At 36.3% G+C, this 17,391-nt stretch overlaps 1 protein-coding gene and 1 long non-coding RNA gene across 20 annotated transcripts in view, besides 1 other annotated feature; one reads left to right on the forward strand and one right to left on the reverse strand.

Moving 5' to 3' along the window:
* LRRC9 (leucine rich repeat containing 9) overlaps positions 1 to 17,391 on the forward strand; it is a 147,105-nt gene that overhangs the window by 40,075 nt on the left and 89,639 nt on the right. For 17 of the 19 annotated variants that reach the window (NR_075071.3, XR_002957549.2, XR_002957550.2 and 14 more), the window contains 5 exons: positions 31 to 227; positions 1,127 to 1,258; positions 6,802 to 6,978; positions 7,309 to 7,426; positions 14,789 to 14,921. Coding sequence is in view for 16 of the 19 variants with exons in the window: in NM_001355272.3 (NP_001342201.1) it covers positions 31 to 227; positions 1,127 to 1,258; positions 6,802 to 6,978; positions 7,309 to 7,426; positions 14,789 to 14,921 (757 nt within the window). In the remaining 3 variants the exon portion in view is untranslated. The remainder of the gene's footprint in view (positions 1 to 30; positions 228 to 1,126; positions 1,259 to 6,801; positions 6,979 to 7,308; positions 7,427 to 14,788; positions 14,922 to 17,391) is intronic. The other 2 variants (XM_024449567.2, XM_024449568.2) reach the window with 1 other exon arrangement.
* Positions 5,500 to 5,559: an enhancer, noted in NCBI's record as "active region_8464". NCBI's record gives its function as "activates an Ori minimal core promoter by ATAC-STARR-seq in GM12878 lymphoblastoid cells {active_cell/tissue: GM12878}" and the evidence as "EXISTENCE:reporter gene assay evidence [ECO:0000049][PMID:35858748]".
* The window catches only part of PCNX4-DT (PCNX4 divergent transcript), a 122,654-nt gene continuing 114,568 nt past the window's right edge, over positions 9,306 to 17,391 (reverse strand). The window contains exon 5 of the long non-coding RNA XR_943918.4: positions 9,306 to 9,615. This is a non-coding gene — a long non-coding RNA (PCNX4 divergent transcript). The remainder of the gene's footprint in view (positions 9,616 to 17,391) is intronic.

Here is a 17,391-nt window from a genome sequence, read left to right on the forward strand (position 1 = left end):
TTTTGCTCTCTGACACATTGTTTTCCACAGTTGGAACGAGAACTGGCTGAACTCAAGGGCTCGGGCAAAGGGCACAGTGATGGATCCAATAACAGTAAAGTAACTGATCCTGAAACACTGAAGAGTTGTGAAACTGTCACTGAAGAACCAAGTCTTCAACAGAAGATATTGGCCAAACTAAATGCCTTGAATGAAAGGGTAACATTCTGGAACAAAAAACTAGATGAGTATGTTTAATTAATTATCTAGTTGTTCTGATCTGAAATGGAGAGAATCAGAATGTTTTGGGCCATCAGTTGACCCTAGTTCCCTTCTTCAGGAGTATGAACAATTACAGTATGAAGTAAAGCATGAAATATATTCTTAGTACTAGTTCCTAGTACATATAAGCATCATGGGATAAAAGCTGGCTTACAGTTTTTTGCAGAGGCAGTTCTTAATTAGGAACAGTAAGCTTCCCCCCAGTGGATTCCTGTCCTATCACTGCTCTAGTGTCTGCAAACTAAAAACAATAGAGCCTCTGCTGGTGGATAAACTCACCAAATAGATGAGACCTGGCAAAGCCCAAACACAGTAGAAACAAGTTCAGGCTCAGTTATCAATTAGAAATGTAAAGCAAGAAGGCTTAGCAAGGACTGTGAATTTTTTTATTTACTAAGGCACTAAGTGGATAAATTAGTGTGCCCTGTGATAATGCTAACAATAATAGTAACATATATTGGGTTTTTACTTTGTGCCAGACTCTGTGCTAAGATCTGTACATGTATTTTGTATGTAACTCTCAAAACAACCATTTTAGGAATAAGGACTACGAATATTGCCATTTTACTGAGAAAACTGAGGCATAAAAAGTCCAAGTGACATGTCTGAGATCTGAAAGCTGTAAGTGGTAGAGCAAGGATAGTCTTCTAGCCTTCACATATTCTGAGAGCAGCAAAATTAAAGGTGATTTTAATTGCCAAAAATAGAATGTCTTTGACATGGTTTAACTGTTAACACCAAGCTTTCTTTATCCATTGAAAGGAAGCCTTGTGTTTTAACATCAGTTAAAAAAAATCTATCATAAGTTTTAATGTTGCGATTTTTAGATCATTCTAATAGCTGTATGTATTTTTCTCTCCAATAGAATTGAAGCAATTTATCATATTGAAGTAAAACAAAAGAAGAAAAGTCATGGCTTATTGATCCCACTTTTGTTAATTGAGTTAGAGACTGTGGGAAATTTCCATTTTGAAGAAGGCACTCGATCTGATGACTGGTAAATCTGTTAGAAATTTAGTATAGCTTTAAAAATAACTTAAGTACTTAGGATCATCAACCAGAATATCAACTTATAAAATCTTAAAATGTCCCATTTTTGAAACATTTCTCATGCAGAATATTCATCTATTGAAAATTGGCAGGCATCTATTGAAAACTGAAAATTACCTACTTTCCGCCTATACATTTCTGTTTATGCCATTACCGTGAGCCAACCTTGAAGACATCCTAATGGTTTATCATTGCTCTTTACCCAATTTTTCTTAGCCCAAGAGCAGAATATAATTTAGAAAAAAAAATTTATAATCAAGTTTTAATTTTTAAAATATGTTTATACTGTTTGTTTCCTGACTGGATATAGTGCATGATTCTGAATATTGGTTGAGAAACTGGAAGAGAGCAGGAATGCCAAAGCAGGATTGGCAACAGCAGGTTGCCAACATGGGAGGAGACTGTCTAGCAAATCTTCTGTAGGTCTGTGGTCAGAGTGGAACCCACTGTTTAGAGATAGCTACAGTCAGGGTGCACACGAACACTACATGTTAGCATAAAGTATATGCTTATACCAGGAATTCAGGTCAAAAGCTTGTATCAACAAAAATGGAGAGACACCAGAATCAAGCAGAAAGCAGACAGCCAGGCTTTAGAACCAAGGCCTACTAGTAGATACTAGGAAGTGGTTGTGTTGCTTCAATTAGAGGGGCACAATTTCAAATTACCCTTAAAAAAAGTCTTGAAGAAAAATATTGTTAAGTATCACTTTCACATTTCTGAGTCATTTTTTCAGAACTGAAGAGCCTGTGAAACAGAGAAAGATTGCTCTAGAGCCACACAATAGGAACTGGGTACATGGAAATACACCAGGAGACATGTCAAACTATAGAATGGACTTGGCACATAACCCTGGAGCATGATTTTACTTGAAGTCAATGTCAAAATAAATACTAATTTTTATAGTGTAGAATGTAAAACTTACACTAACTTTTTAGAAAAAAAAACTGTTATTGTTATGGGTTACTTTAAACCAAGTCCCCTGATTTCTATTAGACATGGCTTTTTTCTCACCTCTGTGAGTAAAAGCTTCTCAAAGGTCTTGGGAGAACTCTGATGGAAAAGTGTAAGAAGCTCTTCGCAAGGGAAAAAGAGGCCTTTGAAAATACTTTCCTTTGTATTAGTACATCCATTTGCCCAGCAGTTACTACTGTTTGCTTAACCACATTTTTTGATTTTTATATACAAAGATATAAAAGGTGTTCATCCAGCTCCCATGTAAACAAGTAAAGGCCTTGATTTTTCAAGTGCAAAAACTGAATGGTGTGTCTCTACTGGGTGCACATTTATATTCACTCAACCTAAACAGGATTTTTTTTTTTTGAGATAGAGTCTCGCTGTGTCCCCGAGACTGGAGTGCAGTGGCCCGATCTCAGCTCGCTGCAACCTCTGCCTCCCAGGTTCAAGCGATTCTCCTGCCTCAGACTCCCGAGTAGCTAAGATTATAGGTGCATGCCACCACACCCACTAATTTTTGTATTTTTAGTGGAGACGGGGTTTTGCCATGTTGGCCAGGCTGGTCTCAAACTCCTGGCCTCAAGTGATCTTCCCACCTCGGCCTCCCAAAGTGCTGAGATCACAGGCATGAGCCACTGTGCCCAGCTCCAAACAGGATTTTTAAAAATTATTTGTTTCTTTTTAAATTATTGCAGAGGAAACTCTTTGCAACAAGTGGATTAGTGAAAAAAAAAAAAATGTAAAAGCAAAATGACCAAAAAGCCATTTAGATAACTATGTCAGCCTGATAGTAAATTAGATAGCTTTGATGGATTTTGATTAGCATTAACCTGTTTACTTGGTTTTAATAAGAGTAACTTTGATTTGTTTTAAGGAATATATCAAATATATGTTAGCAGAATTTAAAGTACTGTTTTTTAGTTTTAGCATACTGCAAGCTTGGCTACTTTTCCTCTGATCTTTTATGTATGTTAAGAAATAACTACTAAGTGCTTTAAATTGCTATGCTACATTTCTAGTTGTTTTATTTAAACACTGACTTCTCCTATTAATATTTTTAAGGCTAAGGATTCAGTATTTAAATAAAAAGTATTTCAGTAGAACTAGGACTGAAAGATTTTCTGTTAAAATTATCTTTATGTCTTTAACAACAACAAAACACTGCATGTTTCTAATTGTATGTCATTATCTCTTAGCTTCATTTCTTTTATGAAATAAAATTATTATATTTTCCAGTTTACAAAAATCTTATTTTATAGAGACATGCTAGTTGAGTGGATTGTTGCTACTATACCTTTATTATTATAGATTTGTATTATTTACCGATGTGTTGCCAATTGAGTTACCCATTGACATCATACAACATTTATCAAGTAGGGACTTCAAAGCATAAAAGATGCTGTCCTTGTGCCTGAGAAGCTGTCAGCCTGGTCATAGATACAGTGTATTTACAACTAAAAAAAAAAAAACACCTTTAAAATACGACAAAACAATATATAAGTGACTCTGTAAGTTCCTTTGGGGAAGATATGATGTTTTGTGTCTTATAAGACATAACATCTAGCATGGGACTGGATTAATAGCCCAGTACATATTTACTAGTTGAAGCTTCCATATCACTTTATAGATACACAACAGTTTTGCTTTGGTGTATATAATGACTTTCAGTAATTAATCTGCCTCTTTATAAAGATTTCATGCTATACTATCTCAAGGAGCTACATAAGCAGAAACTTTCTGTTTTACAGGGCTTTGAAACTGTTGATTTAAGTCAGTAAGCCTGTAAAAGTATTTATTAAACCTTTATATAGGATTATAAAGTATATTTTAATAGATTACATTAAGCTTCAAACATTTAAAAACGTGTGTAGCCTACATTTGCTAAATGAGCACATTATTGTATATTAACAAAATGTGTAGGCATCTTTCTGTGTAACTGAATATATTAGTCATTGATATATATCATTGTGAATGTTTATACCTTCAAGTACCACTGAATGAATGAGGGTAAGGTACACAGTTCAGCTGACTCTAAAGGATTTGAACAGGAGTTATGATTAGTTTAGAGACCATACAGTGGAGAATATTGAATCCTCTACTGTAGGTGAAGAGTCTGAATGTAATTTGGAAGGTAACAAATGGCTGCAAAGGCTTTTGTTTTGTTTTATTGGCAGACTCTTCACCTACAGTAAAGGATCAGTGTTCTCCACTGTATAGTTTTAGACTATCATAACTTCTGTTCAACTCTTTTAAAGTCAGCTGAACTGTGTACCGCACTGCTCTTGAAGCAAACGCAGTACTCCACCACATAAGTGGTTTTGTTTGTTCTGTTTCCTTCACCCAGAATGCTTTTGCATACCTCACACTTACTTCATCATTGCTCAGCTGCTGAATTCCTGGGCAACATAAAATCTCCATGAAAAAATCACACTTCATAGCTCCTGCCTTCCTGGGGAACCAGCCTAGGAGCTAGGTATTGTTTATTCATTCCTTCCACCCATTCATGAGACGCCTCAAGCCCAATATCCCCTATATAGCAAAAACTTTATCTAAAACGCCTACAGCCCTAGTTTCTATCAGAGTGCAGAAAGCTTCCAGGACATGTTACTTAGGGGAAATTTGACAGATTTAGGCCCAGCAAATGATCCCTCTATAGGAGGGGCAGTAGCTTCCCCACCTCAGATGCTAATGTGGCTGTTTTGTAGGTACTCTAAACTGGTTAGCAGGCATCATGCTTGATTGCAACACTATTCATATCTGTCTCCTCTACCAGACTGCGAGCTCCTCTGGGATTAGTTTGGTTTAGGCAGCTCTCCTTTCAACTCTAAGGGAGAAGTAATTTATAAGATCCTGGCTGCATTGATTAAGTATTTGCTTGTGAGAAATATAGATGCCCTAAGTTAGGAGCTCAGCTATTAGGCTCAAGGAGAGACTACCCATCAGGAAGCTCACCTCTGTGACCTTAGCTCACACCCATTTCAGACCCTGGTTGATTATGTAGGTGAGGACCTAGATCTTTCATTAAAGGCAAATGTATTCCTTATAAGACCATTTACTTCCTTCTCAAAATGATCCGTTTTTCAATCTCATCTTAATCTAGGTTCTGTGCTAGACAGGACCGGAATTTTATGCGTATGGCCAGGTGAGGGCAGCAGAGAGCAAACAAGCACTTCAGTGTTATTTTCACACAGCTGGCCCCTGCTCCTCCTCCTCCAATTTTCAGATCAAATATCTTAACGTCTCTGAAAGGTCGTCCCCAAGGCCCTATCTTAAGTAGGTCCCCTTTGCATTCCTTACCCCAAGCTTCTCTTCAGAGCCTTTTTCAGTTTAGAAATTTTATTTCTGGCTTTACTTGTTTAGGCTTCATTAGAGCAGACAATGCCTCTTTCACATCCGTATTCATTGTCAGGAAGTTATTTCAGTAGTCCAATGAGAGATCGTGGTGATTTGGATTAGGATGGTAACAGTGGTGATGATGAAACACGATCACATTCAGGATGGATTTTAGATGTAGAGCCAGGCGGACTTGCTAAAGAATTAGATACTGGGGCCGGGCGCGGTGGCTCACGCCTGTAATCCCAGCACTGGGAGGCCGAGGTGGGCGGATCACGAGGTCAGGAGATTGAGACCATCCTGGCTAACACGGTGAAACCCCGTCTGTATTAAAAACACAAAAAATTAGCCGGGCGTGATGGCGGGCGCCTGTAGTCCCAGCTACTCGGGAAGCTGAGGCAGGAGAATGGCGTGAACCCGGGAGGCGGAGATTGCAGTGAGTGGAGATGGCGCCCCTGCACTCTAGCCTGGGCGACAGAGCGAGACTCCGCCTCAAAAAAAAAAAAAAAAAAAAAAAAAAAAAAAAAAAAAAGATACTGGTGAGGAAGAAAGGAGAGGATTATTCCTACGGTTTTGACTTAAGCTATCAGTTAAATGGTGGTGCCATATACTGAGATGGAAAATACTCAGAGGAGCAGGTTTGGGGTGCAGTGTTAGTTATGTTAGGTTGGAGTCACCTGTTTAACATGCAGATGGACATACCAAGTAGGTAGTTGGATATTCAAGTCTGGGTATAACCAGCTAAGTTGAGTAGAGATCAAGACTAGAAATAAAATGTTGTAATTTATCAGGATGTATATAAAGCCAAGGAACCACGTGAAATCATCTAGGGAGAGTGTTCGTGGAAGCAAGAGGAAGGCCAAAGGCTGATCCCTGGGCAGTTCAACATCTAAAAGTCTGTCTGAGAAGACCCAGCAAGAAAACTATGAAAGAGCAGCCAATAAGAGGAAGGCGTATGAAGTTTCCCTGAAGCTAAGAAAGTGTTTCAGAAAGTGAAGATTGCTCAACCAACCTGTCTTCCAGGCAGAACAAATGTGCAATAAATGAATAAATAAACGGAGCCACTATATGATTACTGTATCTTTAGCAAAAGACACAAAATATGAGCTATAACTTTTATCACGTAGTTTTCTGTTCTTAAACATTTTAAGGAAAATCTATTATTTTCTTCATGTATATTCTGTATGTATTCCCACATAGGTTTAATTTCTGCTATGAATTAATTCTGTCACGTTTTTGTGCCTGGGACTTCAGAACATACGGTATTACAGGAGTAAAAGTAAAACGCATCATTAAAGTTAACAACCGTATTCTGAGACTAAAATTCGAAGAGAAATTTCAAAAGTTTTTGGAGAATGAAGATATGCATGATTCAGAGTAAGAAGCTGAATTCTTTATGGAACAACTTTACAAAAGTGTGACTGTATTTGTAAAATTTCTATTTTAAAAGTTTACAGCATTAAAAATATACATATACCTTGTTAGTAAATGTTTCCTTTTTATGCATCTCCCATGGCCAGGATGACCTCATAATTTATCCACATTGAGCCTGTTTTTGAGGTTGAAGGCAGGGGAGCTATTAATAATGACACTAGAACATTGCATGTCAATGACAAATATCCCTGGCAGGACATATGGTTATCTTATCTATGGCTAAGCTTTTGTGAAATCAATCCTCAAACTTTTTCTGTTTCAATTATTCTTAAGGAGCTACCGAAGGATGCTGGAATGCCTTTTTTATGTTTTTGATCCTGAAGTTTCAGTGAAGAAAAAGCATCTTCTACAAATACTTGAAAAAGGATTCAAAGACAGTGAAACAAGCAAGGTAGCATAAAATGTCATTTAGAATAATGCTTTCTTCCTAGCAAGTGGAGCTCTGCCGCTGGTTAAGCATGATTTCCCAATCCTTTTATCCATATTTATAGTAAATTTCTACTGCTGTTTCACAAAAAGCTTAGTGTTATCATGGAAAGTATAGCATCTTTCCTCTTTGGATTATACCAAAGTAAGCCCATTAATTACTACTGCCTGACCCTACGTAATCCTTCTAGGCATCTTATTTTTATGTTGTGTTCCTTTTGTTGATGGTTTTGAAATCTGCTTTTTAAATTGGTTATAAATCTTTAATCTTTTGTAAACTCTCCAGTCTTCACCTTGAAGCAATTCAGTCACTTAACTCCACTGTACTTTCTAGCTATTGCTTTCCTTTTACTGCTACCATTTCTTTATTCTCTACTTCACTATCTCCATCTTGCTGCTGATCTTGCTTTATCATTGGTCACTTCTGATGCCCCAAGTATCCAACTAATCTTTCTCAGACCTCCACCATCTTGACAAGGCAGCTGTAGCACACTGGTGTAGAGCAGCGCTTCCCAACCTTTTTCACATCATGACACACATAAAATGATAATATTCCTGCATTTGGATCCCGATTTCACTCCTCACCAGCTATGTGACTTCACCTCTCTGTTAATCTGTTTCTTCCTATCTGTAAAATGAAGATAATAATAATATCTATTTTGCAGAGTTGTTGTTAGGATTTAGTGAGATAATGCATTAAAAATTTCTTGGATATTGGTACACCAGTGTTCATGACATCACTATTCAAATAGCCAAAAAAACTAGAAACAATGCAAATATGCATCAACAGATGAATGGATAAACAAAAGTGGAATATACATACAATGGAATGCTATTCAGCCATAAAAAGAAATGAAATTCCGAAACTTCCTACAACATGGAAGAACCTTGGAAACATTATGCTAGAGAAATAATAAGCCAGACAAAAATGGAAAAATATTGTATGATTCCATGTATGTGAAGTACCTAGAATAGGAAAATTCAGAGACAGAAAGTAGAATAGAGGTTACCAAAGGCTCTGGGAGAGGAGGAGGTAGGGAGTTACTGTTTAATGGGTACAGAGTTTCAGTCTGGAATAATGAAAAAGTTCTGGAAATGGATGGTGGCGATGGTTGCACAACAACGTGAATGTACCTAATGCCACTGAATTGTATGCTGGAAAATGGCTAAAATGGTACATTCTATCTTATGTATATTTTGCCACAATAAAAATATCACCTCCCCAAAAAAGCATTCCATCCACTCAGTGGAGAATGGGTTGGTGGGAGTAGAAGCAGATGACAAGGCACTATGTAGGGGAGCTATTGCAGCAGCTCAGGCCATAGAGGTTGGTACTGTCACTGCAGGGTGGTGGTGAGAGTGCCCTCATTGTACTTTATGGAGAAGTAAGAAGGAGGTGAGGAATTCAGGGTTTTACAAGGCAGAGTGAATTGCTCACATTCGGTCCAGAGAACTATGAACCATTATCGGGAGAGGGTAAGGGAAGGATGAGGCTAACACTTCTGTGTTTTCCACCTACCAGCCCTGTGCTGAGTACTTTATCTTCTGCATCTCCTAAAAGAGATGAACCACCTCCTTTAATTCTCCCACAGCTCTCTGTGCTGCTCTGTCCAAAAGAGTAGCCACCACCCACATGTAACTATTAAGCATTTGAAATGTGGCTAGTCCAAATTGAGTATGCTGAAAGTTTAAAACAAGCACCAGTTTTTAAAGACTGAGTATGGAAAAAAAACACTATAATTTTTATATTAGGTACATGTTGACATGGTAGTATTTTGGACGTATTAGATTAAATAAGATATTTTATTAAGATTTGCCAAAAAAAGATCTCTTGGACCAATGCCTGGCATCAAGAAAGTTTTTGATATTTTATTTTGATATTTTGATATTTTATTTTGAAAGTTTTAAATATTTTTATTTTTGAATTTTTACAATTGTCTGAAACATTTGACACTATTGGTTGCCTTCTTCTTTTTGAAACTCTCCTTTGGCATCCATGATATTACACTATTGTTATCCTCCTATTTTTCTGATTGTTATTCGCTTCCTTTTTGTTCCCCATTTTGCTTCTAAACATGGGAATACCACAGGTTAAAGTCTCCTGATCTTCCCTTTTTTCTTCACACACCATCAATTACTGTCATTGTTAAGATCCTAGAAATGGAAGAAACATCAGTGTGTAGCATGTAAAAGATCAGATGAGCTACATTTCTGTGCTATGATGTGTACATAATGGGTCAGGATAAATATTTATGTTCCGCATTGTTTAAGAGATGGGCTCTGATTTAAAAGACAGCCGTGTAAGCAGTTTAGAAGAGAGGTTTGGCTAAGGTTGGCAGTATCTACAGGCAGAGGGCTGGCCATAGTGGGGAAGAAGAAACTATTTGACTAGCAAACATATCTAAGGTTAAGTCCACTTTTCTAGTTGGAAGAGGAAGGATCTCTTTCTATCAATTCAGGATGAAGTGTTCAGTAGTAAGGGTGGGAGAGTACGTAAGTAAATCTGCTCACATAGCTTGAGTTCATTCCCTACCGAATATTGTTTGTAATCAAGGACTTGGTCAATAAACGCAAAGAGTATCACGTATTCACTTATGGTTTCTCCAAAATGTACATCTTCAGTTAGGCTATCTCTTCCTCTCTGCTCTGCCACCTACAGCTGCCATTCCTGCATGGTTAATATACTTTATTCTCTTATATAGTGTGTCTAAAACCAGCCTTTTAAAACTGTTAAGTTCAGGGTTACATGTGTAGGTTTGTTATTAGGTAAACTTGTGTCATGGGTGTATGTTGTACAGATTATTTTGTCACCCAGGTATTAAGCCTAGTACCCATTAGTTATTTTTGCAGCTCCTCTCCTTCTTCCCACCCCCTCCCTCCAGTAGGCCCCAGTATCTGTTGTTCCTCTTTATGTGTTCATGTGTTCTCATCATTTAGCTCCCACTTATTAGTGAGAAAATGTAGTATTTTGGGTTTCTGTTCCTGTGTTAGTTTGCTAAGGACAATGGCTTCCAACTCCATCCATGTTCCTGGAAAGGCTGCATAGTATTCCATGGTGTACATGTACCACATTTTCTTTATCCAGTCTAAGCATGTAGGTTGATTCTATGTCTTTGCTGTTGTGAATAGTTTGCAATGAACCTATGTATGCACGTGTCTTTATGATAGAACGATTTATATTCCTTTAGGTATATACCCAGAAATGGGATTGCTGGGTCAAATGGTAGTTCTGTTTTTAGGTCTTTGAGGAATCATCACACTGTTCTTCACAATGGTTGAACCAATTTACACTTCCATCAACAGTGTATAAGCATTCCTTTTTCTCCACAACCTTGTCAGCCTCTGTTATTTTTTGACTTTTTAATAATAGCCATTCTGACTGGTATAAGATGGTGTCTCATTGTGGTTTTGATTTGCATTTCTCTAATGATCAGTGATGATGAGCTTTTTTTCTTATGCTTATTGGCCACATGTATGTCTTCTTTTGCAAAGTGTCTGTTCATATCCTTTGCCCACTTTTTAATGGGGTGATTTTTTTTTGTAAATGTGTTTAATTTCCTTATAGATCTGGATATTAGACCTTTGTTGGATGCACAGTTTGCAGAATTTTTCTCCCATTCTGTAGATTGTCTGTTTACTCTGTTGTTTCTTTTGCTATTCAGAAGCTCTTAAATTTAATTAGATCCCATTTGTCAATTTTTGCTTTTGTTGCAATTGCTTTCAATGTCTTCATCATGTAGTATTTGCCCATTCCTACGTCCAGAATGGTATTGCCTATGTTGTGTGAGGGTTTCGATAGTTTTGGGTTTTACATTTAAGTCCTTACATTTAACTCCAACTTGAGTTGATTTTTCATATATGGTATAAGAAAGGGGCCCAGTTTCAATCTTCTGCATATGGCTAGTCAGTTATCCCAGCACCATTTATTGAATAGGGGTTCCTGTCCCCATTGCTTGTTTTTGTCAGCTTTGTTGAAAATGAAATGGTTGTAGGTGTGCAACCTTATTTCCAGGCTCTCTATTCTCTGTTCCATTGGTCTATGTGTCTGTTTTTGTGCCAGTACCATGCCGTTTTCTTACTGTAGACCTGTAGTGTAGTTTGAAGTTGGATAGTTTGATGCCTCCAGCATTATTCTTTTCGCATAGGATTGGCTTGGCTATTTGGGCTCTCTTTTGGTTCCATTTGAGTTGTAAAATAGTTTTTTCTAGTTCCGTGAAGAATGTCACTGTTAGTTTGATAGGAATAGCATTGACTTTATAAATTGGTTTGGGCAGTATGGCCATTTTAACAATATTGATTCTTCCTGTCCATGAGCATGGAATGTTTTTCCATTTGTTTGTGTCATCTCTTATTTTAAAACCAGGCTTTAATCTTTTGCTCATAAGCAGCTCTCTCCTGGTCTTCTTTCCTGATTTCCATAACAATACTGTCATTTCCTTCACTGAACATGCTCAAAGCCTTGGAATTATGTTCAACCCTCCCTTTTCCATTATCCCCACATCTAATCATTTTCCAGTGGCTCTTCATTTCTCTCCCTAATCCCATTGCCTGCGACCACTTTCAACCCTTAGAACTTTCCTTCTAATCTCTGCCATTGTTTCCCAATAGGCAACACTGCCCTTGGTCATGCCCTCTAGTTCTTCCATTTTTCACAGTACAAATTAATCTTTCTTAAAACATTATTTTCATAGTGCACATTGCACTGTGTCCATGATGAGAAACTTTCAGTAGCTTCGCATTACATGTAATGATGATGTCCACATTCCTCTGCCTGGCATTGAAGGCCTCTGACAACCCTCACAATCTATCTTCAACCTAACTCCCCATTACCAAATATGCCAAGTGACCCTAATGAAGTATGTAGTCTACTTGTGATTCTCCTAAGTACAGCTCATACCACCCTTTGATGAAATGCTGTTTTCTATTTTTACCCTGTAACAGACTTACTGATCCTTTAAGTCCCAACTCAAGGGTTTCTTCTTTTGTGTGGCTTTTCCTGAATTTTCAAACAGTAGGTGCCCTTTTACCTAGTTTGCAGGTTAATCCAAAAAGTCAGTTAAAATGGAGAACTGTAAACAGATGATTTACTTAACAAATCCTTTAATATAACTTAAAATACAAATTTACATTCATGTGTCAATCTTCTGTGCAGGTCCAAAGCCTTTGACTATGAAATTGGAACTCTAAGTAGTCTTTCTTGTATCAGCCGTAACCATGTTTCATATTAGTTTTGTTTTCCTTAAAGTTGAGCATGCACTTAAAGATTCTTGCAAAGTAACTCGAATGTAAAAATCCTTCTAGTTTGTCTGATTCCCCCCACCACCCCAAACTTCTGCATTTGCTTTATCTACACATGCCTTGCCAGAAGTTCTTAATGATTATCTTCTATTGAATTTTACTAAATTTTCCAAAATTGTTCAAAGAAACAACTCCTCTTCTATTTTATAGCTTTAAATAATATGCATAATTTCATAACAACTACAACTGGCATAAACAAGCTTGGGAACAAAATTAACTGACTCTTGGTAAGCATACAACACAACTGGATACAGTAGAAGTACATCCATTTTTTAAAAGTTCCATTTTATCCCTGAACTGCCATCATAGTATGAGTTATATAGACAACAGAAAATACTGGTTAATCCTGCAAATTGGTTAAGTGTTAGTTAAGTGGTGAACAACTGAAAAATTTTATTATAACACATTTGTTTTATTGAAATGTAACCATTTGTGTGCATTTTTCTACTAGTTCTTAAGAGCAGGATCTGTATTTATAGAGTAGATTCTTAGTAGAAATCTAGTGAAGGAATTGATGTCAGATGGATGGATAGCAATCACACCTATTTGTATACCTTCATGTTTTCCTCCTCTTAAAATATAATTTCCTTTTAAATTTCTGATTATTTGAATTATGTCCAATCTTCAAAGCCTACCCATGATTTCATTGCCTCTATAAACTCCTTCCTAATCCCTTCAGTTAAAAAGTATATCTTATTTGACACATCTTGTGGTGCCTTGTATTTTTTAAATTATCATATATAGTTTCTATATTTGCCTTTCTTAACTGAGGACCAAGACTACACTGTAGCCTTACAATGCCCTGCACGTGGGTTATATCGAATGGATATTTAGTGATGTTCATTGAAAGTCTAAAAAGGTTACTTACTGGGGTGTGGAATTTGTGGTCGGATAAGCCCTATTAGAGTATACTCACCCATCAGTATCTCTGGGGGATTGATTCCAGGACTCATGCAGATACCAAAATCTGTGAATACACAAGTCCATTATATAAAATGGTGCAGTATTTGCATATAACCTACACATATCCTCTTGTGTACTCTAAAACTCCTCTAGACTACTTACAATGCAATGTAAATACTATTTAAATAGTTGTTATACTGCATTGTTTGCTATTTGTATTATTTTGTATTGCATTTTTTTCCTGAATATTTTCAATCCATGGTTGGTTGAATCCTCAGATGTGGGAACTGTGGATGTGGAGGGCTGACTGTATTTATTTTTTCAGAATGTCTTTGGATTGCAGATTTCAATTAAAAAAATAAGTAATTTGGCATTTACAGATAAGACATAATTCTAAATAATTTGGCTATTAATGTTAAACAAATAGTAATTTCAAACCTTTGAGATTGTGACAAGGACAAATAGACCTGAGTTCAAATCGTGACTTTGCCAATTACTAGTTCTGTCCTTGGACAGATCATATAATCTCTTTTAGCTCTAGTTTTCTTACTACTAAAATCTAAAAATAGAGATTTTTGGTTTTTAGAGCTGTTTTCACGGCAAGCAAGTAATGTGAACATTACCGATAGAATACTTTCAAGAAATAAAGTTAGTCACAATACAAACTAGGATTTCCATGGGTTAACACATGAAAAGTGTTTTGTTTCTAGAAAACAATGTAGATTATTAGCCCCAAAAATTATAGTATAAACAAGAATCTTCACTGATATAATACCTCATTCCATTAGATTTTCTTTTTGGAGTTAGCAAGATTACTAGTGGAGTACTCATTGAAAGCTATTGCTCCTGCTCCACATAGTATTATCAGTCTTGACTGTGGCTGCTTTTCCAGGAACAATTTTTGTTCTGCATCACCTTTTATTAACCTATTTGCATATGAATTTAAGATAAATAAATGGTTTTGCCAAATGAAGTTGCACCTGAAGGTTATCTACTTCTTTTCAGTGAGTCCGGCCTGCAGATTTCTTTGCCCAGACACATAAAAATAAAATAATAAACCCTCTGTATTGAAGTTGAAGTATTGTCAATTTTATAAAAATACTCAGACTTTGTTTTTTCTTTGCAGCTGCCTCTCAAAAAAGAAGCCATCATTGTTTCTAACAGTCTAAGTATAAGTGAGTGTCCCAGAATTGAATTTTTACAGCAAAAGCACAAAGATGAGAAGAAAATCTCTCTTAAGCATGAGCTCTTCAGACATGGTAAATACAAATATGCCATGTTTCTGAACTTTTAAGTTCTGTCTTCAAATTCATTAATTATTTTTATATCGTTTCTGATACTTGGTTTTATCAACCAAGGAGATGTTCTTCAAACCATTTTATTTCATATTTACCAGTGTAGTAATACATGACTTTCTCATCATTAATTTAGCCACACTTTTAACAGATACTTACTGAGTGATTATTATGTCAGCATTAAGAGGAACATTTGTTACTCAGATATTTAATTCAACTTTTCAGGGACATTTTTCACAGTCTGCTTTTGTTTATTATGTTGTGTCACATATATATATATGTGTCACAGCATATATATATATATATATGCTGAACTAAACTATGTGTGTGTGTGTGTGTGTAGTGTATATATATATACATATATATATGTATATATATATATGTATATATATATACATATATATATGTATATATATATATGTATATATATATACACTACACACACGAACACCAAATTCACAGGAAATAGAAAAGAATTTGGCCCATATATGTGATAATTATATAATAATTATATAAAGTACTCCGGAAGATAGGCCTTATTTGTCCTGAATCATCATAATTTAAGATGATAAGAAAACCTGGGTTTAAGTTAAAATCAGCTAAAGACAAATTGTAAAGTGTATGGATTGCTTTATAACTTGTCTTATATAAGATAATTTTTTGATAATTCATTCATAGTTACCAGTACTTCATTTGCAGCTTGAATATGTAGAAATATAAGTACACAAACCAATTTATAGGACACTTCTGGGAGAAACTCCCTGGTACCCATGGACTGGGGAAAAAGACTATAGCTCATCATGTCCTTCTTGCCTCACCCTCTTCCACTGTACATTCTTTAGTTCCACAAGTATTTATTGAATGCTTATTGTGTGTTAGGCACTGGAAGGGATACAGTCTATGCAAACTAGACAGTTTCATCTTTATGGTGCTTATAAATATTAATAATCACATAAATATAAAATCATAGTTATCATATAGGAGCTATAAACATGAAGTATTAATGCGTGGTACCAAAGAATGTATAATATGGAGAATAGATCAGGTCAGGGAGTAAGGAACACCTATTCTTTAGTCTCAACCATCCGACCTACTAAAGCAGGGTCTCCAACCCCTGCCCACAGACTGGTTGCAGTTTGTGGCCTGTTAGGAACCTGGCCACACAGCAGGAGGTGAGCAGGGGGCAAGTGAGCAAAGCTTCATCTGTATTTGCAGCCACTCCCCATCATTTGCATTACCGCATGAGCTCCGCCTCCTGTCACATCAGTGGCAGCATTTGATTCTTATAGGGGCGCGAACCCTATTGTGAACCGCACATGCGAGGGATCTGGGTTGTGCGCTCCTTATGAGAACCTAATGCCTGATGATATGTCACTTGTCTCCCAACACCCCCAGATGGGACCATCTAGATGCAGGAAAACACGCTCAGGGCTCCCACTGATTCTACATTATGGTGAGTTATATAATTATTTCATTATATGTTACAATGTAATAATAATAGAAATAAAGTACACAATAAATATAATACACCTGAATCATCCTGAAACCATCCTCCCATCCCCAGTCTGGGGGAAAATTGTCTTCCATGAAACCAGTCCCTGGTGCCAAAAAGGTTGGAGACCACTGTACTAAAGATTGGGTAGTCAGAAATTGGGTTAACTTAATTCTATAAGAATGACATTCTAGGTTCCAGATTGCTAAGGTGAATCATTCTGAACTAAACGATACGTGTTTTGCAGTTTTTTATCCAGTTAATAATAATTATAAAATTAAGCAGGTTATTGAGTCTAGAAAGAACTCCTTAACTCCTTACTTGAAAAAACCTTTTATTCTTTATCATTCTTCTCCATTTTCATATTAAGAAATGCCTCACGATGTTCTGCTAGATCCTTCTGGAATGTTTCCAAAACAATTAGGTTCTCCTAATTTACATTTTATATCTTGTACATAGTAAAAACAAACAAAATTCCTTTGAACATTTTATGTATTATGATTATAAATTACGTTTTTAGTTTCTTGACTTTAGGATTTAATGAATCCCAAGGATCCTTAAGAATCTAAAGGAAAATGAAATGTTTATTCATTAAGTAGACATATATTGAGTGCCTCCTACCATCTAAGCTATGTGCTAGGTGCTACTGAACTTTTACCCAGTTAACAACAACCAAAATTTATTTTTAACTACTTAAAAAACCTTGCCGAATTAATGTGTTCTTTCCTTCTCCCTCTTCTGTAAAGCTTTGCTTGATATAATCACACAACACCTCTTTTATAATTATTTCATGTATTCAACAAATATTTGTTGAGCATCTATTTTGGATCGAGCAATGTGTTATGCGCTGTACAGTAGCAAACAAGAGAGCCAGCATCTCTGCCTTTACAGAACATACAGTTTAGTCTTGGGCCAATAAAGAAGGTTATGTTGGAAAATTAT

The sequence above is a fragment of the Homo sapiens genome, chromosome 14 (assembly GCF_000001405.40).
Source record: "Homo sapiens chromosome 14, GRCh38.p14 Primary Assembly".
In the NCBI taxonomy this organism is placed as follows: Eukaryota; Metazoa; Chordata; class Mammalia; order Primates; family Hominidae; genus Homo; species Homo sapiens.